Source organism: Homo sapiens, chromosome 15 (genome assembly GCF_000001405.40).
Source record: "Homo sapiens chromosome 15, GRCh38.p14 Primary Assembly".
Lineage (NCBI taxonomy): Eukaryota > Metazoa > Chordata > Mammalia > Primates > Hominidae > Homo > Homo sapiens.
The window spans coordinates 97,272,537-97,299,555 of NC_000015.10; the positions used below are offsets into that span (position 1 = coordinate 97,272,537).

Genomic DNA, 27,019 nt, shown 5'->3' on the forward strand with positions numbered 1-27,019 from the left:
AAAAAGGGAAAATGAACATCATGTTTCAGTTAGCAACAACTGCTATAAGCCCTTGTCACTATACATGGTCTGTTCTATTTCCCAAGAAGTTCCCATTGTTAACCAACTTCAGCAATTTCTTATATACAACACGGTTGCAGCACAGCATGTGTCTGCACATATACACGCATGCACACGCTCATCAATATATACAAATATTTTTTGTTGTTTCCTTCTCTTTGCTGTATTTTCTTCCATACGAATTATTGCCCCATTATACAGACTATTATGTATCTCACTTTTTTCACTATATAAGTCTTGGAATTATTTTCATATCTTACCACCTTTTTTGTTTTTTAACCAGTATATTTTGTATCATATGTTTGATAATTCATGGGTCTCTCATTGATGGATATGCAGATTGCTTCCATTTGCTGTTGTTGATTTTGCTGTTACCAGTTTGGCCACAATGACTATCCTAGCACAGTGAGAATAGGGGTTATGAGGATGGGCTCTGAAGTCAGACTGTCTTTGTTTCATATCTGCTTCTAACACTTCCCAGCATTTTAACTGTGAGAAAGTTATGTAAATTCTCTGTGATCCCATTTCTGAAAATGGGCAAAACTATAGTTATTTTTAATTTTTAATTTTTTTTAAAGACAGTATCTCACTCTGTTGCCCAGGCTGAAGTGCAGTGACATGATCATAGTTCATTGCAGCCTTAAACTCCTGATCTCAACTGATCCTCCCACTTCAGCTTCCCATGTAGCTAGGACTAGAGGCACACACTATCTTATCTCTTTATGTTATAAAGATTAAATAAACTTGTAGACTTAATAATACCTGTATATCGAAAACCTTCATAAACATTAGCTATAATTGCTAGTTTGTATTTTAATTTTTTATTTTGAAATAATTTTAGACTGACATTGAAGCTTCAAAAATAGTATACAGAAATTCCAAGTACCCTTCACTCAGCTTCCTTCAGTGATAACATCTCACAAAAGAGAATAACTATCAAAACCAAAAATTGACTAAATAATTTTGGCAGTTTTCCTGCCATTTTCTTGGTGAACACTTCCATGAAATTTTCTCAAATGTGTAGATTTGTGTAACCACCACTAAAATTAGGGTATGGAACTGTTATAATATCATCCCTCAAAAATTCCCTCACACTACAATTTTATATCACACATTTCACACAACTCTGTTGACAACAATGGTTGTGTTTTCCATCATCACAGTTTGGCCATTTACAGAAAGTTTTTAAAATGGAGTAATACAGTATATGATCTTTTGAGAATGGCTTGTTTCACTAGGCATAATGTCATTGAGATTTATCCAATGTATTGCGCATTTCGATTGTTTGTTCCTTTTGATTGCTGAATAATATTCCATTGAATAGATGTGCCACAGTTTATTTATTCATCCAGTGTATTAGTTACCTGTGGCTGCTATAAGAAATTAGCACAAATTTTATGATTTAAAACTGCAGAAATGCATTCTCTCACAGTTCTAGCTGCCAGCAGTCCAAAATCAGTACCAGTGGGCAGAAGTCAAGGTGTTGGCCGAGATATGGTGCCGTGATCCCTCTGGATATTCTGGTGGAGAATCTATCTCTTGCTTCTTCCCACTTCTGGAGGCTGCTGGCATTTGTTAACTTGTGGATACATCAATCCAATTTCTGCCTTTGACTTCACATCACCCTCTCCTCTTATGTCTATCTGTCCAATCTACCTCTAGCTCCTCGTTATCATGAAGTGTGATCTCCTTTAAGATCCACCTGGGTAATCCAGGATAATCTTCCAGCTCAAGATTCTTAATTTAATCACATGTACACACAAACCCTTTTTTTTCCACATAAGGTGACATTTACAGATTCCAGAGTTTAGTATCTAATATCCTCTGGGGTCATTATTCAGCCAACTCTGCCTTGGGGAAGATATTTCAGTTGTTTCCAGTTTGGGTATATTACAAAATAAAGCTGCTAAGAATATTGATGTGCGGATTCTTGTGTGAACATAAGTTTTCATTTCTCCAGTGAATACCCAGGCAATTGCTGGGCCATATGGGAAGTGTACATTTAATTTTATAAGAAAACTACTAAGCAGTTTTCCACAGTGGCTATGCCATTTAACCTTCCCACTTGGCAATGTATGAGAGATGCATTTTCTCTGCCTTCTCTCCAGCATGTGGTACAATGTTACCAGTATGTTATTCTAGCCAGTCTAATATGTGAGCAGTAGTATCTCCTCATGGCTTTACTTTGCACTTCCCTAATGACTAATAATATTGAGATCTAGTCATGTAATTAATTGCCATCCTTTTATCTTCCATGAAATATCTTTTTAAATCTTTTGCCTGATTTCTAATTTGATTGTTTTCTTACTACTGAGTTCAGAGAGTTGCTTATTCTGGAAATAAGTCATTTGCTGGTTATTGCAAATATTATCTCCCAATATGTGGCTTATCTTCTTGTTCTCTTAAGAATGACTTTTACATAACAAAAGTGCTTAATTTTGATGCAGTCCCATTTAATGATTTTTTATGTTTAAGGATTCTGGTTTTGGTGTCATGTCCAAGAATCTGTCACTAGCCCCTTTGTGGTAGATTTTCTGTAATGTTTTCTTCTAAAAGTCTTAGAGTTTTATATTTAAACTTAGATCTATGGTACATTTTGAATTAATCATTGTAGAGAATATGAAGTCTAGGTTGAGGCTAACATTTTCACCAACTGATATCCATGTTCTCTAACAACATACGTTGAAAAAACTATCCTTTTTACATTAAATTGTTTTTGCAACTTTGTATAAAATCAGAAGGCTGTGATTATATGGGGTCTATTTATAGCTCTCTATTCTTTTCCCTTGATCTATGTGTCTCTCCTTCCTAATGCCACTGTCTCTCTTGATTGCTGTAGATATACAGAATGTTTTAAATATAGGTAGTCTTTTTTCAATTTTTTTGTATCTATTTTACTTCCTTTGTCTTATGTGTATATTTTAGATTCAGCTTCACAGTACAGAAAAAACTCATGCTGAAATGTAGATATGAATTGTGTTAAATCAACAGACAAATTTAGGGTGAATTGACATTTTACTATATGGAGTCTTCAAAATCATGACTACAGTATGTCAATTTATTTAGTTATCCTTTGTTTCATTTCATTAGCATTTGTAGTTTTCAGCATACCGTGGCTGTAAATAATTTGACAGATATACATAGATGGATTTTATTATTTTTGGAGCTATTGTAAAATGTATGTTTTTTATTTTTGTGTTTTTATGTTCATTGGTAATATACAGAAATAAAACTGATTTTTGTATGTTGATGTCATATCCTGTGACCTTGCTGAACTTACTAGTTCTAGGAGTTATTTTTTCATTAGATTCCTTATGACTTTCTATATAGAAAAAAATAATGTCTTCTTCAAGTAAAGACAGTTTGATCTCTTCCAATTTAATCTGCATGGGTCTGCCTGTCTTTCCTTGCCTTATTGCCCTTGCTTGGGTTCTCAGTACAATGTTGAATAGGAGTGGTGAGGATGAACATCTTTGCTCTGTTTCTGATGTCTGGGGGAATGCACTCAATTTTTCACTGTCAAGTGAAATATTAACTATTGGTTTTCAAGATCCTCTTTATGAAGTTGAAGAAGTTCTCTATTCATACTATGTGAGACTTTTTGTCATGTATGGTTGTTAGTTCAGTCTTTTGTCTGCATCGAGATGATTATGATTTTTCTTCTTTAAACTCTTCGTAGGGTTGTATACTTGATTGATTTTTCAAATAATAAACCAGCCTTGCATTTCTGAAATAAACAACTCTTGACACTGTGCACAACACAAAAAAACTCTTGGTTGTCATGCATTATTCTTTTTATGTGTTGTTGGATTTAATTTGCTTATATTTTGTTGAAAATTTTGTATCTACATTCACGTGGGATATTGGTTTATGATTTCCTTTTTGATTTTTTTCTTCTTTTAAAAACCTTTATTTTAAATTCAGGGGTACAAGTGCAGGTTTGTTACACAGGTAAACTTGTGTCCTGGAGGTGTGTTGTACAGATTATTTCATCACTCAGGTATTAAGCCTAGTACTGATTAGTTATTTTTCCTGATCCTTTCCCTTCTCTCACCCTCCACCCTCCAAAAGGCCCAAGTATGTATTGTTCTCTTCTACGTATTTATGTGTTCTCATATTTTAGCTCTTATCTATAAGTGAGAACATGCAGTATTTGGTTTTCTGTTCCTTTATTAGTTTGTTAAGGATAATGGCCTCCAGCTCCATCCATGTCCCTGCAAAGGACATGAACTCATTTTTTTTTATGGCTGCATAGTACCAACAATCGTATGAAAAAAGTTCAGCATAACTGATCATTAGAGAAATGCAAATCAAAACCACAGTGAAATACCATCTAACACCAGTCAGAATGGCTACTATTAAAAAGTCAAAAAACAACAGATGTTGGTGGATTGTGGAGGAAAAGGAGTGCTTTTACACTGTGGGTGGGACTATAAATTAGTTCAGCCATTGTGGAAGACAATGTGGCAATTCCTCAAAGACCTAAGGACAGAAATATCATCCAACCCAGCAATCCCATTACTGGGTATATATACAAAGGAATATAAATCATTCTATATAAAGACACATATTTTTTACTTTTCTTTCTTTCTTTCTTGTACTGTCTTTTTCTGGCTTAAGTATCAAGGTAATGCTGGCCCTATAAAATGAGTTGAGATTTATATTCTATTATTCTTTGACAATACTGTGTAGAATTAATGTTTTCTCTCCTTTAAATATTTGGTGACATTTACAAGTGAAATCATCTGGGCCAGAAGATTTCTTATTTGGAAGGTTGTTGATAAATTCAATTACTTTATTAGTCATAGGAGTATTTCATGTTGGTTGAATTATAATAATTTATGGTTTTTCAGGAATCTATCCATGTCATATAAGTTTTCTCATTCATATGCATGGAATTGTTACCATAATCTCTTACCCTGTTAATGTCTTAGGTTCTGTGATGATATCCGATATTTCCTTCCAGATATTTGTCATATGTGTATTCCTTCTCTTTTTCTTAGTCATACTTGCCAGAAATTAATTATTTTACTGATATTTTGAGTTATCAGCTTTTTGTTTAATTTATTTTCTCTATTATTTTTCTATTTTGAATTTTATTGATTTCTAATACAATCTAATTTTTTAATTCTATTTACTTGACATGTATATCTACCTTTTTTTAGTTTCTTGAAGTGGAAGCTCCTATTATTGGTTTTAGACTTTTCTTCGGTTCTAACATAAACAGTTTATTCTATCAATTTCCCTCACAGCCCTGCTTTCACTGCAGCCCATGGATTTTAATATGTAAATCTTTTAATTTTTGTCACACATCTATATAATATATATATATGTATATAATATGGCTTAGTGTTAATTGCAAAAATAATACTTAGAGATCACTGAATCCTTTCTCCATTTTCACCTAATGGTAAAATTTACAAAATATTTTTCTTGTACAATATCAATACAGAAAATTATAGCAGCACGACATTGTCAATTATATTACAGACTTTATTCTAATTTCATAAATATTTACTGCATTCACTTGGGTGTTGGTGTGTGTAGTTCTATGTAATTTGATTCCATTTAAATATTTAATATTATATATTTTCTAATTTTACTGCTGTTTCTCTTTTGCCTGTGAGTTATTGTTACAGGTGTTGTTCAGTTATGAAATGAATGGAGATTGTCTCATTTACTTTGTTACAATTGTTTTCTAGTTTATTCTATTATGGTCAGAGAAAATACTTTGCTACTTGGTATAAGTTTAGTTCTTTTTAGTATTACTTTTGATGGGCTTCATATGGGTTATCTTGATAAATATTTCATATAAAATTAAAAATACCTTGTATTTATCTGTTGTTAGATGCAGTGTTCTAAAAATACAGGTAGATTTTACTGAACGATAGTGCTATTCAGTTTCTCTATATCCTTACTAATTTTCTGTCTAGTGGACTTGTCTATTATTTCCTTCAGTTATGTTACTTCTTGCTTCATGTACATGGAAACACTCCTGATTATATATTAAGGACTATTATGTCTGCATGATGAATTGGCCATTTTATCTTTAAGTAATAATGTTCTTTGTTCCTAGTTTTCTTAGATATAAAGTGTATTCTTCCTGATATTAATATTGTAATTCCAGGTTTTTTTAAATTATCATTATACTTTTAAGTTCTGGGGTACAGGTGCAGAACATGCAGGTTTGTTACATAGGTATACATGTGCCATGATGGTTTGCTGCACCCATGAACCCGTCATCTACATTAGGTATTTCTCCGAATGCTATCCCTCCCCTACCCGCCCCCCACCCCCTGATAGGCCCCAGTGTGTAATGTTCCCCCTCCCTGTGTCCATGTGTTCTCACTGTTCAGCTCCCACTTATGAGTGAGAACATGCGGTGTTTGGTTTTCTGTTCTTGCATTAGTTTGCTGAGAATGATGGTTTCCAGCTTCATCCATGTGCCTGCAAAGGACATGAACTCATCCTTTTAAATGAGTGCATAGTATTTCATGGTGTATATGTACCACATTTTGTTTATCCAGTCTATCAATGATGGGCATTTGTGTTGGTTCCAAGTCTTTGCTATTGTGAATAGTGCTGCAATAAACATACGTGTGCATGTGTCCTTATAATAGAATGATTTATGATGCTTTGGGTATATACCCAGTAATGAGATTGCTGGGTCAAATGGTATTTCTGGTTCTAGATCCTTGAGGAATCTCCACACTGTCTTCCACAATGGTTGAACTAATTTATACTCCCACCAACAGTGTAAAAGTGTTCCTATTTCTCCATATCCTCTCCAGCATCTGTTGTTTCCTGACTTTTTGATGATTACATTCTAACTGGCGTGAGATGGTATATCATTGTGGTTTTGATTTGCATTTCTCTAATGACTAGTGATAATGAGCTTTTTTCCATATGTTTGTTGGCTGCGTAAGTATCTTCTTTTGAGAAGTGTCTGTTCATATCCTTTGCCCACTTTTTGATGGGGTTGTGTGTTTTTTTCTTGAAATTTGTTTAAGTTCTTTGTAGATTCTGGATATTAGCTCCTTGCCAGATGGGTAGATTGCAAAAATTTTCTCCCATTCTGTAAGTTGCCTATTCACTCTGATGATAGCTTCTTTTGCTGTGCAGAAACTCTTTAGTTTAATTAGATCCCATTTGTCAATTTTGGCTTTTGTTGCCATTGCTTTTTGTGTTTTAGTCATAAAGTCTTTGCCTATGCCTATGTCCTGATGAATATTGCCAAGGTTTTCTTCCAGGGTTTTTATGGCTTTAGGTCTTACATTTAAGTCTTTAATCCATTTTGAGTTAATTTTTGCATAAGGTGTAAGGAAGAGGTTCAGTTTCAGTTTTCTGCATATGGCTAGCCAGTTTTCCCAACACCATTTGTTAAATAGGGAATCCTTTCCCCATTGCTTCTTTTTGTCAGGTTTGTCAAAGATCAGGTGGTTGTAGATGTGTGGTGTTATTTCTGAGGTCTCTGTTTTGTTCAATTGGTCTATATATTTATTTTGGTACCAGTACCATGCTGCTTTGGTTACTGTAGCCTTGTAGTATTTTTTGAAGACAGGTACCGTGATGCCTTCCGCTTTGTTCTTTTTGCTTAGGATTGTCTTGGCTTTGTGGGCTCTTTTTTGGTTCCATATGGAATTTAAAGTAGTTTGTTCTAATTCTGTGAAGAAAGTCAATGATAGCTTGATGGGGATAGCATTGCATCTATAAATTACTTGGGGCAGTATGGCCATTTTGATGATATTGATTCTTCCTATCCATAAGCATGGAATGTTTTCCCATTTGTTTGTGTCCTCTCTTATTTCCTTGAGCAGTGGTTTGTAGTTCTCCTTGAAGAGGTGCTGCACATCCCTTGTAAGCTGTATTCCTAGGTATTTTATTCTCTTTGTAGCAATTGCGAATGGGAGTCCACTCATGATTTGGCTCTCTGTTTGTCTATCATTGGTGTATAGAAATGCATGTGATTTTTGCACATTGATTTTGTATCCTGAGACTTTGCTGAAATTGCTTATCAGCTTAAGGAGTTTTGGACTGAGACAATGGGGTTTTCTAAATATACAATCATGTCATCTGCAAACAGAGACAATTTGACTTCCTCTTTTCTTATTTGAATACCCTTTATTTCTTTCCCTTGCTTGATTGCCCTGGCCAGAACTTCCAATACTATATTGAATAGGTGTGATGAGAGATGGCACCCTTGTCTTGTGCAGGTTTTCAAAGGGAATGTTTCCAGTTTTTGCCCATTCAGTATAATTAGAGTCTGTATGGTATATCTTTCTTCATCCTTTTACATTTAAAATTTTGTTTACATTGGAAGTAAGTTTCTTATAGATTGCATATAGTTGGATCATTTTTTGGGTAACAAGTTTGACAGTCTTTATCTTTTAATTGTTGTGACATGATCATTTACATTTAATGTAATTATAGATATGCTAGAATTTAAATTTGTTATGATATTGTTTTTTATTTGTTTACCTCTGTTTTTCTTTTCTCTTTTTTCTTTCCTGACTACCTCTGGGTTGCTTGAACATATTTTAGTATTCTGTTTTGATTTTTCTGTACTTTGCTTTGTGTCTATATGCTCTAGGATTACAAAATCCATACTTAAAATGTCTGTCTGTTTTTAGAAACATTTCACCCCTTCATGTGTAATATAGAAAGCTTTAGTTTCTTTTCCCCACATCCCTTTACAATATAAACATCTTAAATGTTACTTTTATATACATTTTATAAAACCACCAATATTATGGCTTTTTGCTTTCAACCTTTAAACAAAATTTAAAACACTAAAGAAGAGATGAATAATCTGTATTTTTTAGTTAGTCATATTTATTATATCTACTCCTTTGTATACATTAGGAAAGATCAGTGGAAAGTGTATGGGCATGTGTTTCCTTAATCGTTCTTAATATATACATTGATCTTTTTTCCACTGCTTTTTCTTGATTACTGATGTTCCAAATTTTCCTTTATTTTTTTTTCTGCCAGAAAAATTTGGTTTAATTTATTCTCTCAGAGAAAGTCTGCTGCTGACAAATACTTTTAATTTACCTCATTTTTTTAAATCTGTGAACATATTTATTTTACTCATATTTCTAAAGGATAATTTTAGAGGTTTAAAATTTTGTATCAACTGTCCTGTTTTTATTAAACTTGAAAAAATTTTGTGCCACTTTTTTCTGGTCTGCGTCCTGATGAGTAATCTGCCTTGTTTGAATTGTTGTTTCCTACAGGTAAGGTGTTATTTTTCTCTAGCTGTTTTTAAGTATTTTCCTTATTTTAGGTTTATAAAATTTGGTTATAATGTGTCTGGCCATACACTTTCTTAGGCTTATCCTGTTTAGGATTCACTTGGCTACTTGAATCTGTAAGTTTTTGTTTTTCATCACATTTTGGAAGTTATTATTGCTTCTAATATTCTTCATCTGTATGCTTCCCTCTCTTTCTTGGACTCTGTTGACATAAATGTTAGATCTTTGTTAGTTCCTCACTGAGACTGTGTCTTTGTTAATTTTCTGTATATTTTCTGATGTTTTTAAATAGACTTTGTTTTCTAGTTTTTAAAAATAAATTTTATCATGTCTATTTGAGGTCTACAACATGATGTTATGAAATACAAATAGATAATAAAATGGTTACTATAGTGAAATAGATGAACATATCTATTATCTCACATACATTTTGCAACAAGAGCAGCTAAAATCTACTTATTTAAGAAAAATCCCAAATACAGTACAATTTTATTGACTTTAGTCTTTATAGATTTTATTTTTAGACCCATTTCAGGTTTACAAACTGAGGAGAAAGTACAGAGGGTTTCCATATATCTTCTCTCACACATGCACAATCTCTCCCACTATCAACATCCTGCACCTAAGTGTTACATTCATTATAATCTATGAACCTATTTTTTACATGTTATTATCACCCAAGGTCTATAGTTTATATTCGGGTTCACTCTTGGACGTGTATATTCTATGTTGTTTTTTTTTTTTTTTTTGACAAAGTTATATTGACTTGTATCCACCATTATAGTATCATGTAGAATAGTCCCAGTGCCCTAAAAACTCTGTGTTTGTGCTAGACATATCATAGAATCATATTTTCAATCCTCAAACCTCTTGAGATTGGGTATGGCCATGTGACTTGATTTGGCCAGAGAAATGTAAGCAAAAGTGAAATGTGTCATTTGTGGGCAAAACTTAAACAGCTGGTGGTTTCCTGCTCTCTCTTTCTGCCCTGGCTATTGGCTGGGTTCTGAGTAGTAGATGCTATATCAACCTGTTTCCTGATAAGGATGGCATGAACAAACACCTTAACCTACACATAAACATGTGATGTACTTGTGCTGTGTGTAAGAAATAACCCTAGTTGTTTGAGGCCACTGTGGTTTTTAATTTATGGATTACTACGATATAACTTTAACCAATTGTGAGTGATACAAAGAGTTTGTGCATGTGAGCATATGTTCTCAGGGTTTCTGTGACATAAAAGTGCTCAAAAATTAACTCTATGAGGGCTAATATTAATACTAGGCACCTAAGGGAATAGAATTTTAAAAGCATATATCACTTTTCCTTGTGTAGTATTTTTACTCCTGGTGACAGAATCTCATTCTCTCTTCAAAACATATGCTCTTCCTTTCCATTGTGGGCCTGCTGATATTGAAGATAAAAGTGCTCATGCATGCATCCTAATCAGAGTAGTAGGCATTTAAACTGGACTGAGTCGATCATAGAAAATTATCTTACCTGGCAGAGACACATGTGTGGGTAAGCATCTTACCCAACCTAGGCCAATTAGACTCTTGCAGAAACGTGAACCTTGTGCAGTGTTCAGGAGGTGGCTAACACCAAGCCAGAGCCCTGGCAGCTCTCTTCAATTTCTGTATTGAGATTACTCTTGTTGTCTTCTCTCCTATTCTCCCTAAGTCATATTTGCTTAACTTTAATTTTGTAACTAGTCAGTGCCCTTTAAAAATGTTTCCTTTCTCTATCTGCTTAAAATAATCAGCATTAGTTTCTGTTGCTTATTTATAAAGACCCACATTTCATAGAAGTAGACAATGATTTGTCTTTTATTGATTAGTTTAAAGATTAGTCCTTGGAATTACCCATCTCTTCTAATTAATTTCTACACGTATGAATACCAAATTTTCCTGATACTTTCCCTTTGTTTACTTTATTATATTTTCTCACCCTCTGAAGCAAATGCTTATTAATAATACTTTCTTTTGCTTGTCTAGAATTGCACACTTTAATGATTATGAAATTTCTTCTGAGTACTTTTGGATTTGCCATATACTTGTATATTTTAGTGTTTATATTATATTTCTTTCTGAATATTCTTTAATTTTGAATTTTATTTCCAATTTATCAAAAACTTGAGAATTTAATATTTTTTATTTGTGTAAATTTAATAGGTAGAAGTCCAGTTTTGTAACATGGATATATTGCATGGCAGTGAAGTCTGGACTTTAAGTGTAATCATCACCTGAATGTAGGCCCTACCCGTTAAGTAACTTCTCCCTTTTGCCCCAATGTCCTGACACCCTTTCAAGTCTTCAGTGTCTGTTATTTCACACTCTATGTCCATGTGTACACTTTATTTACTTTCTAATTATAAATGATAACACGCAGCATTTGACTTTGTTTCTGAGTTGTTTCACTTAAGTTTATGCCCCCCAATTCCATCCATGTTGTGGCAAAATATATGATTTCATTCTTTTTTATGCCTGAATAGTATTCCATTGTGTATATATACCATAGTTTCCTTATCCATTCAACTGTTGGTGGACACTTTGATTGATTCCAAATCTTTACTATTGTGAATAGTACTGTGATGAACATGAGAATATAAATGTCTTTTTGATATAATTATTTATTTTTCCTTTGGGAAGATACCCAGTAGTGGTATTTTATTGCTGGATGGAATGGTAGCTCTATTGTAGTTATTTGAGTAATCTCCATACTGTCTTTGATAGAGGTTGTGCTAACTCAGATTCCCACCAACAATATATAAGTGTTTCCTTTTCTCTGCATCCTTGCCAACACCTGTTGATTTTTACTTTTTAATAACAGCCTTTCTGACTGGTGTAGGATGGTATCTGACTGTGATTTTAATTTGCACTTCTCTGGTTATTATGTTGAGCACTTTTTCATATGCTTTTTGGCCATTCACGTTTTCTTTTGAAAAATATCTATTCATGTTTTTTGCTTACATATTAGTGAGGCTATTTGAGGGTTTTTTGTTGTTGTTGTTGAGTTGTTTGAGTTCCTTGTAAGTTCGTAATATCAGTCCCCTGTCAGATCATAGTTTGCAAATATTTTCTCCCATTCTGCAATTGGTTTACTTCCTTTTCCAGTTTTGTTTTTGTTTTCATTTTTGTTTTATTGTGATCTGAATATTGACTTATACCATTTTTACCTTTTATAATTTATTGAAGTTATCTTCAGTGTAATATATTAGTAAAATCAGATGATATTTTATTCCATGGACATTTTAGAAGAAGGTGTATTGTAGTTTTAGGCTATGAATGGCATCCATTTTATTTTTCTCATAAATGATTCTTTAATTCCCTATGGCTATAATCTTTTGTGTGCTTGCACTAAGTCCAACATGGACAGAGGCAGATTAGTTCTTTTTCTACTAAGATTTTTATTATTTATTGTTCTATGCCTTTGGATTATAAATATTTGGTGATTTTTTTAATGCAGAAAAAAATGTATGCATACATGTCCTAACTTCAGTGTGAATTGTATATTTTGTGTTATAAAGTTCTCTTGCATGTCACGATTTATGAATGTGGTTCTATTCTGTGAAGGGCAAAGCTGCTCAGTGACCGATGACAAGAAATTTTAGGTCATTCTCCTCAGTCAGGAATTTATAGTAGAAATTACTGATAAAATAAAATTTGTAACAGTATTAGGTAAAAACAGAATAAATGGAATAATCATAATGTTTGTTCCTTATAACAAAATAAATTCTAGGAGAGATGAATAAATCTTAATAAGTAATTTAGAAAACATTATATAATTCTAAAACGAAGAAAGACTTTCTAATTATGATGTGAAACCCAGAAACTCTTAACAGGGAAGATTGTCAAATGTGCATATATTATAGGTCAATTATGAATCCTAAAAAATAAAAAGATTTTAATGTTAAAAAATCACAAATAAAGTTCAATTACATAGGCCAAAATGTATGAATATATACTACAAGAGAAGGAAAAATAATCTATGAATGTTTCCTGTCAAGATATGTGAAAGGACAAATAACCCAAAAGAAAAATGGCCAAGAGTCTAAATAGATATTTCACAACAGAAAAAAAATACAAATAGCCAAAAACATGTAAGAAGAATGTACAACATAATTAGTAATAATGCAAATGCTAAAAAAATAGCAGCATGTAATATTTTCTATAATGATTCCTATAATAATTTCACACTGTAATGGGTGAAGTGTTGGGTAATTGATACTTACTTTTACTAACGATGGGTGTGTCAGTTAGTACATTTCTATTTCAAGCAACCAAATTTTAAAATATGTATACCCTTCTCCACCTAGAAATTAATCTTGATTTTAAAAAACTCACAAGATTTGTTTACATATTTATAATGAAAACATCTTGGAGGCTATCTGAAGGACTTAACAATAAAAGAATATGTCAAATCAATATAATGAAATGTTAGGCAAATGATTTAGACATGAGATTAATGTATATATTCATGGTATCAAAAATTGTCCCAGATATATTGCTTAAAGATGAAAGATATATAGAATATTATGCAAATTGTAAGTTAATTGTTTTTGAAATAAGGCGTGTATGCAGTTCAGGAAAACATTTCAAATGTTTGTCTGTAAAGCATTAATAATAGTTCCTCCTGGGATGGGTCTATGACTAAAAATAAAATAAATTGCAGGAATGTGTGGTTAAGAATGATGAATTAAAGGGGTTTTTAATCCCGCACTCTTCTCTGAAGCCAACTGGAAAAAATAAAAGCATAGTGGAATTACTCATGGTAAATGAAACTAGAAAGGAGTTCCCACAAGCCATGGAGTAAAAGAAATAGCTGCCAAATATAGTGAGGTCAGAATCAAAACAAAGGAAGACACAGCCATTTTTACATGATTAAATAAATAAATAAATAAATAAATTGGGATAAAGAGACAAATCTCTAGTGCAGTAAATTCCAAATAAATTCTGTAGCTATTGGCCCCTCAGGTATGTGGTAGGTATCTTCCTATCCCTTAATTGTGGGCTCCACATCCAACATTTTTTCCAAAGAGTACACATCAAAAGAGAGAAAGAAGTAATTTACCCTACAGAATCTTGAAAAACCTCAGCCATGTGACCAAGGTCAACACCAACTATTATTATAAGTCATGTTGATAGCATGGATCTTTATATGGTATGATAAAAATGTCACCTTACCTCTTTAGTCTTCCTCCCCAAAAGCATACAACTCCACTCTAACCATGAAAAAGTTATCAGAGAAGCCCACACTGATGGGCATTCTATAAGATGCTTGACCAGTACTTCTCAAAGTGGTTAATGTCATCCAAAACAAGGAATGTCTGAGAAATGATCACAACCCAGGGAAAACTGAGAAGAGGCATGATGCCAACATGTGATGTGGTACCTAATGCAGTTTCCTAATGATCTTTTTCCAGGATAGGTTCCTGGGGTAGAAAAAGGTCATTAGGAAAAAAATATTTATAATCTGAATAAAATATGAACTTTAGTTAATATATTAATATTAGTCTATTAGTTCAACAGGAGGAACTCGTGTCGGGTATATGGAAGCTCTCTGTAGTATCTATCACATCTTTCATATATTAGATATACATTTGATACTTACAAAATATCACTAAATGAAAAAAATAGACTTTTTTTCTGTCATTTAAAGAGAAAACGTGGAAACAATTGGCATAAGCTTGTAGGAGGCACATTTTAGTTCTATAAAATTTGTATTTTTTAATAATCTGAGCTGCGTGCAGGGGTAATGCAGCAGTGGAGGTAATCAAATTATAGTTGGGGAAACATTTGTTAGAGATTTGGAGAAGTAGATTAAAGCATCTGATAAGGTTTAAACTGTATAATAATAAAGATAACACCCATTGAACAATATAATGTTCTTCGCACGATACAATCCTCACAACACACCACTTTAGAGACAGGAAACTGAGACCCATGAGGGCCCAGACAGTACACAGCCCATACAGAAACCATCTCTGTCCCAAGCCAAAGCCCATGGCCTTTCCACTCAGATGACTGCCTTCTGAGGTAGGTCTTCAAGATGTGTCTAAGAAAAAAGGTTGATTCAAGAAGAAAGAATTTCACTGAAAGAAAAAAATGGCAAAGTGGCAAACTGAAGAGCTAGGAAAAATGCTTAGAACCAGAACAGAAACTAGAAGAGTTATTAATTGTGGGCTCCAGGTTATATGTGAAACAAAAAATAAAATAAAATAAAATTCATCTGAAGATACTTAATCCCCTTTAAATTATTTTTTTCCCTCCACTATGAAATATCACCAGTTGACAGGAGATACAGATATTTAACCAAGTAAAACTCTAAAACGTTGGCTTTCAATCCACTCTTTCATACGATGGACACAACCAGGTGTGTTTATTGAACGCTGCAGGATACTCTAGATCTAGCAATGAGCAGAAGCAAGGTTCACATTGGAGGCATTCTGTGCTATGATAAAACATATTTATCATGAGGGAGAAAAGGAATGTATTGTGGTCAGCCAATTGTGTGGAAAAGAATATATGTAATAGACTTCATAGGATTTTGCAGTGTATATGTGTAGTTATTTGAGAAAATTGCCTGGGGCTTGTTTTCATTCACACTTATCTTCACCTCTTCTACCACCATGCTTTCCTCCAAGTAATCAGTAAGCAGAAATGAAATAGTTGGAATCAGCAGCATTCCGAGTTAAAGATGTGAGCATTTTATGTGTAAAGGGTCAGTTGTATTAAAAATCTTGAAATCTGTTCTGGGTGACTGTGGGCTATTGATCTCCCCATTGTGGAATGCATCCTAGTTGAAGGTTAGCCAGAGATCTTCACAATAGTGTTTCTGCAGGCAAAGCCGCCTTCCTCTGTTCGCGAGGAAACTGTTTAATTCATAAAGCTTTGATGCTTAAACTGTTTCTGACCTTCTGTGAGCACTTCAAAGGGGAAAATTAGCTGCCTGGAAAAATATAATGACCTAAATCCAGCAATTTGGGACACACATGTTTTAGTCTGTTGAACTCATGTTGACTATTTATACTGTGTTTCTTTTTGGAACAGATTGCCTTGCAGGCCTATAATTGGATAAAGGTGCTAATTTGGAGAGTTTGAAAATGATTAGGTATCGATTTCTCATTTAAGTGCCATTCCTATTAGAATCTTAGCTCAGAAGCAAGATGTAAGAATCTGTGCTTAAAGTTTCTTTCTCTCTATTTACGCTTTTTTTATTATTTGCATTTCTTAAAGTAAAATTATATTCATGATAAATATATAAAGAAGCAGCAATACATTTTTTCTTTTCGATTATTAACTTGATTTTTTAAAAGAAATTTTGTGTTCACAGAAAAATTGAGCAGAAAGTATAAAGTTTCCATATGCCCCTTGTCCCTACACATGACAACCCTCTTCATTATTGACATCCCTTACCACAGTGGTACATTTATTACAATTGATGAACTTACATTGACATATCACTACCACTCAGAGCCCATAGTATACATTAGGGTTTACTCTGGATGTTGTACGTTCTGTGGGTTTGGACAACCTTATAATGACATATATCCATTGCAATATCATACAGAATGATTTTACTGCCCTAAACATCCTCCAGTTTCCGCCTGTTTTCTCCTTTTGATCAATCCATGAGAACTGACAATCGTATTACTGTCCCTGTAATTTTGCCTTTTCTAGAATGTCATAGAGTAGTTGGAATCATACAGTATTGGATTATTTCACTTAGTGATATACATTTAAGATTCCTTTATATCTTTTCATGGCTTGATAGCCAATTTCTTTTTAGAGCTCAATCTACTGTCAGATGTACCACAGTTTATCCATTCACCTACTAAAGAACATCTTGTTTCTTCCAAGTTTTGGCAACTATAGATAAAGCTGTGTGCCGGTTTTTGTGTGAGCATGAGTTTTCAACTCATTTGAGTAAATACCAAAGAGCACGATTGCTGGATCATAAGGTAAGAGTATGTTTAGTTTGGTTAAAAAAAAATTGTCTTTCAAAGTAGTGATACCATTTTGAATTCTTACCAGAAATAACTGTGTGTTCCTCACCAGCATTTGGTACCTTCAGTATTTTGTAATTCTGTGAAGAATGTTGTTGGTATTGTGATAGGATACACTGAATCTGTAGATCACTTTGGGTAGTATGGGTAGTATGTACATTTTAACAATACTATCTCTACCAACCCATGAACATGGGATATCTTTCCATGCACTTGTGTTCTTTTCAATGTCCTTTATCAGTGTTTTATAGTTTTCAGTGGAGAGATTTTTCACCTTCTTGGTCACATTTATTTTTAGGTATCTTATTTTTTTTATTTTATTATTATTACACTTTAAGTTTTAGGGTACATGTGCACAATGTGCAGGTTAGTACATATGTATACATGTGCCATGCTGGTGTGCTGCACCCATTAACTCGTCATTTAGCATTAGGTATATCTCCTAATGCTATCCCTCCCCCCTCCCCCCACCCCACAACAGTCCCCAGAGTGTGATGTTCCTCTTCCTGTGTCCATGTGTTCTCATTGTTCAATTGCCACCTATGAGTGAGAACACGTGGTGCATGGTTTTTTGTCCTTGTGATAGTTTACTGAGAATGATGATTTCTGATTTCATCCATGTCCCTACAAAGGACATGAACTCATCATTTTTTATGGCTGCATAGTATTCCATGGTGTATATGTGCCACATTTTCTTAATCCAGTCTATCATTGTTGGACATTTGGGTTGGTTCCAAGTCTTTGCTATTATGAATAGTGCTGCAATAAACATACATGTGCATGTGTCTTTACAGCAGCATGATTTATAGTCATTTGGGTATATGCCCAGTAATGGGATGACTGGGTCAAATGGTATTTCTAGTTCTAGATCCCTGAGGAATCGCCACACTGACTTCCACAATGGTTGAACTAGTTTACAGTCCCACCAACAGTGTAAAAGTGTTGCTATTTCTCCACATCCTCTCCAGCACCTGTTGTTTCCTGACTTTTTAATGATTGCCATTCTAACTGGTGTGAGATGGTATCTCATTGTGGTTTTGATTTGCATTTCTCTGATGGCCAGTGATGGTGAGCATTTCTTCATGTGTTTTTTGGCTGCATAAATGTCTTCTTTTGAGAAGTGTCTGTTCATGTCCTTCGCCCACTTTTTGATGGGGTTGTTTTTTTCTTGTAAATTTGTTTGAGTTCATTGTAGATTCTGGATATTAGCCCTCTGTCAGATGAGTAGGTTGTGAAAATTTTCTCCCATTTTGTAGGTTGCCTGTTCACTCTGATGGTAGTTTCTTTGCTGTGCAGAAGCTCTTTAGTTTACTTAGATCCCATTTGTCAATTTTGGCTTTTATTGCCATTGCTTTTGGTGTTTTAGCCATGAAGTCCTTGCCCATGCCTATGTCCTGAATGATAATGCCTAGGTTTTCTTCTAGGGTTTTTATGGTTTTAGGTCTAACGTTTAAGTCTTTAATCCATCTTGAATTAATTTTTGTATAAGGTGTACGAAAGGGATCCAGTTTCAGCTTTCTACATATCCTAGCCAGTTTTCCCAGCACCATTTATTAAATAGGGAATATTTTCCCCATTGCTTGTTTTTGTCAGGTTTGTCAAAGATCAGATAGTTGTAGATATGCGGCGTTATTTCTGAGGCCTCTGTTCTGTTCCATTGATCTATATCTCTGTTTTGGTACCAGTACCATGCTGTTTTGGTTACTGTAGCCTTGTAGTATAGTTTGAAGTCAGGTAGCTTGATGCCTCCAGCTTTGTTCTTTTGGCTTAGGATTGACTTGGTGATGCGGGCTCTTTTTTGCTTCCATATGAACTTTAGTTTTTTCCAATTCTGTGAAGAAAGTCCTTGGTAGCTTGATGGGGATGGCATTGAATCTATAAATTACCTTGGGCAGTATGGCCATTTTCATGATATTAATACTTCCTACCCATGAGCATGGAATGTTCTTCCATTTGTTTGTATCCTCTTTTATTTCATTGAGCAGTGGTTTGTAGTTCTCCTTGAAGAGGTCCTTCACGTCCCTTGTAAGTTGGATTCCTAGGTATTTTATTCTCTTTGAAGCAATTGTGAATGGGAGTTCACTCATAATTTGGCTCTCTGTTTGTCTGTTATTGGTGTATAAGAATGCTTGTGATTTTTGTATATTGATTTTGTATCCTGAGACTTTGCTGAAGTTGCTTATCAGCTTAAGGAGATTTTGGGCTGAGACAATGGGGTTTTCTAGATATACAATCTTATCATCTGCAAACAGGGACAATTTGACTTCCTCTTTTCCTAATTGAATACCCTTTATTTCCTTTTCCTGCCCCACTGCCCTGGCCAGAACTTCCAACACTATGTTGAATAGGAGTGGTGAGAGAGGGCATCCCTGTCTTGTGACAGTTTTCAGAGGGAATGCTTCCAGTTTTTACCCATTCAGTATGATATTGGCTGTGGGTTTGTCATAGATATCTCTTATTATTTTGAGATATGTCCCATCAATACCTAATTTATTGAGAGTTTTTAGCATGAAGGGTTGTTGAATTTTGTCAAAGGCCTTTTCTGCATCTATTGAGATAATCATGTGGTTTTTGTCTTTGGCTCTGTTTATATGCTGGATTACATTTATTGATTTGCGTATATTGAACCAGCCTTGCATCCCAGGGATGAAGCCCACTTGATCATGGTGGATAAGCTTTTTGATGTGCTGCTGGATTTGGTTTGCCAGTATTTTATTGAGGATTTTTGCATCAATGTTCATCAAGGATATTGTTCTAAAATTCTCTTTTTTGGTTGTGTCTCTGCCCGGCTTTGGTATCAGGATGATGCTGGCCTCATAAAATGAGTTAGGGAGGATTCCCTCTTTTTCTATGGATTGGAATAGTTTCAGAAGGAATGGTACCAGTTCCTCCTTGTACCTCTAGTAGAATTCGGCTGTGAATCCATCTGGTCCTGGACTCTTTTTGGTTGGTAAGCTATTGATTATTGCCACAATTTCAGAGTCTGTTATTGGTCTATTCAGAGATTCAACTTCTTCCTGGTTTAGTCTTGGGAGGGTGTATGTGTCGAGGAACGTATCCATTTCTTCTAGATTTTCTAGTTTATTTGCGTAGAGGTGTTTGTAGTATTCTCTGATGGTAGTTTGTATTTCTGTGGGATCAGTGGTGATATCCCCTTTATCATTTTGTATTGCATCTATTTGATTCTTCTCTCTTCTTTATTAGTCTTGCTAGCGGTCTATCAATTTTGTTGATCCTTTGAAAAAACCAGCTCCTGGATTGATTAATTTTTTGGAGGGTTTTTTGTGTCTCTATTTCCTTCAGTTCTGCTCTGATTTTAGTTATTTCTTGCCTTCTGCTAGCTTTTGAATGTGTTTGCTCTTGCTTTTCTAGTTCTTTTAATTGTGATGTTAGGGTGTCCATTTTGGATCTTTCCTGCTTTCTCTTGTGGGCATTTAGTGCTATAAATTTCCCTCTACACACTGCTTTGAATGTGTCCCAGAGATTGTGGTATGTTGTGTCTTTGCTCTCGTTGGTTTCAAAGAACATCTTTATTTCTGCCTTCATTTCATTATGTACCCAGTAGTCATTCAGGAGCAGGTTGATCAGTTTCCCTGTAGTTCAGTTTCCATGTAGTTGAGCGGTTTTGAGTGAGTTTCTTAATCCTGAGTTCTAGTTTGATTGCACTGTGGTCTGAGAGACAGTTTGTTATAATTTCTGTTCTTTTACATTTGCTGAAGAGAGCTTTAGTTCCAACTATGTGGTCAATTTTGGAATAGGTGTGGTGTGGTGCTGAAAAAAATGTATATTCTGTTGATTTGGGATGGAGAGTTCTGTAGATGTCTGTTAGGTCCACTTGGTGCAGAGCTGAGTTCAATTCCTGGGTATCCTTGTTAACTTTCTGTCTCGTTGATCTGTCTAATGTTGACAGTGGGGTTAAAGTCTCCCATTATTATTGTGTGGGAGTCTAAGTCTCTTTGTAGGTCACTCAGGACTTGGTTTATGAATCTGGGTGCTCCTGTATTGGGTGCATATATATTTAGGATAGTTAGCTCTTCTTGTTGAATTGATCCCTTTACCATTAGGTAATGGCCTTCTTTGTCTCTTTTGATCTTTGTTGGTTTAAAGTCTGTTTTATCAGAGACTAGGATTGCAACCCCTGCCTTTTTTTGTTTTCCATTTGCTTGGTAGATCTTCCTCCATCCTTTTATTTTGAGCCTATGTGTGTCTCTGCACATGAGATGGGTTTCCTGGATACAGCACTCTGATGGGTCTTGACTCTTTATCCAATTTGCCAGTCTGTGCCTTTTAATTGGAGCATTTAGCCCATTTACATTTAAGGTTAGTATTGTTATGTGTGAATTTGGTCCTGTCATTATGATATTAGCTGGTTATTTTGCTCGTTAGTTGATGCAGTTTCTTCCTAGCCTTGATGGTCTTTACAACTTGGCATGATTTTGCAGTGGCTGGTACCGGTTGTTCCTTTCCATGTTTAGTGCTTCCTTCAGGAGCTCTTTTAGGGCAGGCCTGGTGGTGACAAAATCTCTCAGCATTTGCTTGTCTGTAAAGTATTTTATTTCTCCTTCACTTATGAAGCTTAGTTTGGCTGGATATGAAATTCTGGGTTGAAAATTCTTTTCTTTAAGAATGTTGAATATTGGCCCCCACTCTCTTCTGGCTTGTAGAGTTTCTGACAAGAGATCCGCTGTTAGTCTGATGGGCTTCCCTTTGTGGGTAACCCGACCTTTCTCTCTGGCTCCCCTTAACATTTTTTCCTTCATTTCAACTTTGGTGAATCTGACAATTATGTGTCTTGGAGTTGCTCTTCTCGAGGAGTATCTTTGTGGCGTTCTCTGTACTTCCTGAATCTGAATGTTGGCCTGCCTTGCTAGATTGGGGAAGTTCTCCTGCATAATATCCTGCAGAGTGTTTTCCAACTTGGTTCCATTCTCCCCATCACTTTCAGGTACACCTATCAGACGTAGATTTGGTCTTTTCACATAGTCCCATATTTCTTGGAGACTTTGTTCGTTTCTTTTTATTCTTTTTTCTCTAAACTTCTGTTCTCACTTCATTTCATTCATTTCATCTTCCATCACTGATACCGTTTCTTCCAGTTGATGGCATCGTTTCCTGAGGCTTCTGCATTCTTCACGGTGTTCTCGAGCCTTGGCTTTCAGCTCCATCAGCTCCTTTAAGCACTTCTCTGTATTGGTTATTCTAGTTATACATTCGTCTAAATTTTTTTCAAAGTTTTTAACTTCTTTGCCTTTGGTTTGAATTTCCTCCTGTAGCTCAGAGTAGTTTGATCATCTGAAGCCTTCTTCTCTCAACTCATCAAAGTCATTCTCTGTCCAGCTTTGTTCCGTTGCTGGTGAGGAACTACATTCCTGTGGAGGAGGAGAGGCGCTCTGCTTTTTAGAGTTTCCAGTTTTGCTGCTCTGTTTTTTCCCCATCTTTGTGGTTTTATCTACTTTTGGTCTTTGATGATGGTGATGTACAGATGGGTTTTTGGTGTGGATGTCCTGTTTGTTAGTTTTCCTTCTAACAGACAGGACCCTCAGCTGCAGGTCTGTTGGCGTTTGCTAGAGGTTCACTCCAGACCCTGTTTGCCTGGGTACCAGCAGTGGTGTCTGCAGTACAGTGGATTTTTCTGAACCGCGAATGTTGCTGTCTGATCATTCCTCTGGAAGTTTTGTCTCAGAGGAGTACCGGGCCGTGTGAGGTGTCAGTGTGCCCCTGCTGGGGGGTGCCTCCCAGTTAGGCTGCTCGGGGGTCAGGGGTCAGGGACCCACTTGAGGAGGCAGTCTGCCGGTTCTCAGATCTCCAGCTGCGTGCTGGGAGAACCACTGCTCTCTTCAAAGCTGTCAGACAGGGACATTTAAGTCTGCAGAGGTTACTGCTGTCTTTTTGTTTGTCTGTGCCCTGCCCCCAGAGGTGGAGCCTACAGAGGCAGGCAGGCCTCCTTGAGCTGTGGTGGGCTCCACCCAGTTTGAGCTTCCAGGCTGCTTTGTTTACCTAAGCAAGCCTGGGCAATGGCGGGCGCCCCTCCCCCAGCCTCGCTGCCGCCTTGCAGTTTGATCTCAGACTGCTGTGCTAGCAATTAGCAAGACTCCGTGGGCGTAGGACCCTCCGAGCCAGGTGCGGGTTATAATCTACTGGTGCGCCGTGTTTTAAGCCCGTGGAAAAGCACAGTATTAGGGTGGGAGTGACCCGATTTTCCAGGTGCCGTCGGTCACCCCTTTCTTTGACTAGGAAAGGGAACTCCCTGACCCCTTGCGCTTCCCGAGTGAGGCAATGTCTCGCCCTGCTTTGGCTCGCGCATGGTGCGCTGCACCCACTGTCCTGCGCCCACTGTCTGGCACTCCCTAGTGAGATGAACGCGGTACCTCAGATGGAAATGCAGAAATCACCTGTCTTCTGCGTCACTCATGCTGGGAGCTGTAGACCCGAGCTGTTCCTGTTCGTCCATCTTGGCTGTAATCCCAGGTATCTTATTTTGTTGTTGTTGTTGTAGCTACTGCTAATGGGATTGTTTTCCTGATTTATTTTTCAGATAGTTTACTATTAGCATATAGAAATACTACTGATTTGTGTGTGTTGATTTCATATCCTGCAGCTTTATTGAATTTATTCATTTTTTTCATGGAGTAATTAGAAATCTAATTTCTTTTGCTTGCTGAATTGCTCTGGGTAAGACTTCCACTACAGTATTGTGTAGAAGTGGTGAAAGTGGGCATCCTTCTCTAGTTCCAGACCTTATAGAAAAAGCTTTCAACTTTTCTCTGTCCAGTATAATGTTAGCTGTGAATTTGTTATATACGGCCTTTATTGTGGTGAGATACATTCCTTCTATACCTAATTTGTTGAGGGTTTTTCATGAATGTTGTTGAATTTTGTCAAATGCTTTTTCTGCCTCTATGAAAATTATCATATGGTTTTTGTCCTTAATTCCATTAATGTCATGCAAATGTTTTTTGATTTGTGTATGTTGAGCCATCCTTGCATCCGTGGGGTGAATCCCACTTTGTCCTAGTGAATGATTTATTAAAATGTGCTATTGAATTTAGTTTGCCAGTATTTTGTAGAGGATTTCTGCATCTGTTAATCAGGGATATTGACCTGTAGTGTTGTTGCTGTTGTGTCCTTGTCTAGGTATCACAGTAGTGCTTGCTTCTAAGATGAGTTTGGAAGAATTTTCTCCTCTTTATTTTTCTAGGAGTAGTTTGAGAAGAATTGGTATTAGTTGTTCTCAAAATGTTTGATGGAATTCAGCAGGGAAGCCATCAGGCCCTCAGCTTTCCTTTAATGGAAGACTTTTTATTACTGAGTCAATCTAATTACTCATTAATAGTCTGGTCATGTTTCCTAATTATTTTCATGATTCAATATTAATAGGTTGTGTATGTCCAGGGATTTATTCATTTTGTCCAGGTTTTACAATTTGTTAGCATATTGGTGTTCATAATATTTTTGTATTAGTCTTCGTATTTCTGTGGTATATTATTGTTTCCTTTTGTGTTTGTGATTTCGTTTAGTTTTCCCTTTTTTGTAGTTACTTTGGCTAAAGGATTTATAGTTCTAGATTTTATTTTTTAAAAAAACAAATCTTTGTCATGTTGATCTTTTCTATTAGTTTAGTCTTTATTTCATTTATTTCTGCTCTGATCTTTATTATTATGTTTTCCTTCTCTTAATTTTGGGATTACTTTGTTCTTGTTTTATAGTTCTTTGAAGTGAAACTTTAGGTTTATTTTTTTAGATCTTTTTCTTTTTTGATGTGGGCATTTATTGCTATAAAGTTTTCTCTGAGTTCTGAGTATGCTGGGTCCCACAGGTTTTGGTATGTTGTGTTTTTATTTTTAATTATCTCTAGAAATTTTTAAATTTTACTTTTAATTGCTTTATTGAACTAATGGGTGTTCAGAAACATGATGTGGAATTTCCATATATTTGCATATTTTCTAAAGCCTTTCCTGTTATTTATTTCTAGTTTCATACAATAGTGGTCAGAAAGAACACTTGATATGATTTTGATTTTTAAAAATGTGTTAAGACTTATTTTGTGGACTGTTATATGGTCTATTCTGGGGAGAGTTGCATGTGTACATCAAGGAAGAATGTGTATTCTGCTGCTGTTGGATGGACATTCTGTATATATCTCATAGTTCTATTTTGTCTCTAGTGCAATTCAATTCCACTCTTCCTTTATTAATTTTCTCTCTTGTTGATGGGTACATTGTTGAGGATGAGGTACTGATCTCACCTATTATTATTGTATTTCTATCTATTTCTCTCTTCATGTCCATTAAGATTTATTTTTTATTTATTTAGATTTATTTAGGAGCTTTGATCTTGGGTGTGTATGTAGTTACAATTGTTATGTCTTCTTAATGAATTGAGCCCTTTATAATTAAATAATGACCTTCTTTGTTTCCTGTAACAGGTTTTCACCTGATGTATATTTTATCTGTTAAAAGTATAACAACTCTTGCTTTATTTTGGTTACTATTTGCATGAAATATCTTCTTCTATCCCTTTATTTTCAGCCTATGTGTGTCCTTAGGGCTAAAGTGCATCTCTCATAGGAAGCACATAATTGGATATTGTCCGTTTTAAACCCATTCAGTCACTCTATTTCTTTTGACTGGATAATTTAATTCATTTATTTTCAGTCATTATTGATACATAAGGACTACTACTGCCATTTTGTTAATTGTTTTCTGGTTGTTTTGTAAATCCTTTATTTCATCCTCCCTCTCTTGTTGTTTATCTTTTTCACTTGTTTTTTTTTAGTACTGAGTTTTGATTCCTTCTTTCCTTGAATACAGTTTTTTGCTTCGGTGTTACCATAAGGTTTGCATAAAATACCTTATAGTTATAATAGACTATTTTATGCTGCTAACAACTTAACTTCATTTGTATACAAAAACTCTAGACTTTTACCCTCCTCGTTGTAATTTATTTTTTTGATGTCCCAATATATACCTTTTTATATTATGGTTTTCTTAACAACTTAATGTAGCCATCATTATTTTTTACTGTTTTGACTTTTAACCTTCATACTAGAGAAAAATGTGAACGAAAGCACCATAACAGTATTGGGATATTTGAAATTTGACTATATATTTATCTTGACTTGTAAGTTTTATACTTTTATATGTTTTTATGTTAGTAATTATCATCTTTTTGTTTTGACTTAAATAATTTCTTTAAGCATTTTGTGTAATACGAGTATAGTGGTGACAAATTTTCTTTTGCTTGTCTGAGAAAAACTTTATTTCTCCTGCGTTTCTGAAGAACGGCTTTGTATTTCTATTTGTTTTCTTGTACAGCAGTTGTTGTTGTTGTTTCTTTTGCCTGTTTGAAAATATTATCCCATTATCTCCTAGACTGTAGGGGTTTCTGTTACAAAATTTACTGATAGTCTAACAGAAATTCCCTTATATATGATCTGATACTTTTCGCTTGCTGCTTTAAAAATTTTCTTTTTATCTTTGGCTTTTGACAGCTTAATAATAATGTGCCTTGGTGATGATCTCTTTTTTTGGTTGAATATGTTTGGGGACTTCTGCAGTTCGTGTGTTTGGATGTCCATTTCACTTTCAAGCCTTGGGAAGTTTTCAGGAATTATTTTATTAAATCAGCTGTTTTTATCTTCGTGTCTAAGTCTTTTAAAATTTCCCTAATGCAAAAGGTTGATTGTTTAATGGTGTCCTAT

The 27,019-nt window shown here is 35.0% G+C and overlaps 2 long non-coding RNA genes across 5 annotated transcripts in view, besides 2 other annotated features; one reads left to right on the forward strand and one right to left on the reverse strand.

Moving 5' to 3' along the window:
• The window catches only part of LINC02253 (long intergenic non-protein coding RNA 2253), a 197,799-nt gene that overhangs the window by 38,245 nt on the left and 132,535 nt on the right, over nt 1-27,019 (forward strand). The window contains exon 3 of one of the 4 annotated variants that reach the window (NR_183855.1): nt 17,174-17,274. The exons of 2 other annotated variants lie outside the window; for them this stretch is intronic. This is a non-coding gene — a long non-coding RNA (long intergenic non-protein coding RNA 2253). Of the gene's footprint in view, nt 1-17,173; nt 17,275-23,396; nt 23,788-27,019 lie in introns of those variants that run through there. One more of the 4 variants, NR_183856.1, reaches the window with a different exon arrangement.
• LOC105371006 (uncharacterized) overlaps nt 1-27,019 on the reverse strand; it is a 47,150-nt gene that overhangs the window by 365 nt on the left and 19,766 nt on the right. The gene's annotated exons all lie outside the window — the stretch shown is intronic.
• Nucleotides 22,789-23,432: an enhancer, noted in NCBI's record as "OCT4-NANOG-H3K27ac-H3K4me1 hESC enhancer chr15:97838555-97839198 (GRCh37/hg19 assembly coordinates)". NCBI's record gives its function as "activates a minimal SCP1, AML or CMV promoter by ChIP-STARR-seq in naive and primed H9 embryonic stem cells {active_cell/tissue: H9 hESC(naive and primed)}" and the evidence as "EXISTENCE:reporter gene assay evidence [ECO:0000049][PMID:30033119]".
• Nucleotides 23,433-24,074: an enhancer, noted in NCBI's record as "OCT4-NANOG-H3K27ac-H3K4me1 hESC enhancer chr15:97839199-97839840 (GRCh37/hg19 assembly coordinates)". NCBI's record gives its function as "activates a minimal SCP1, AML or CMV promoter by ChIP-STARR-seq in primed H9 embryonic stem cells {active_cell/tissue: H9 hESC(primed)}" and the evidence as "EXISTENCE:reporter gene assay evidence [ECO:0000049][PMID:30033119]".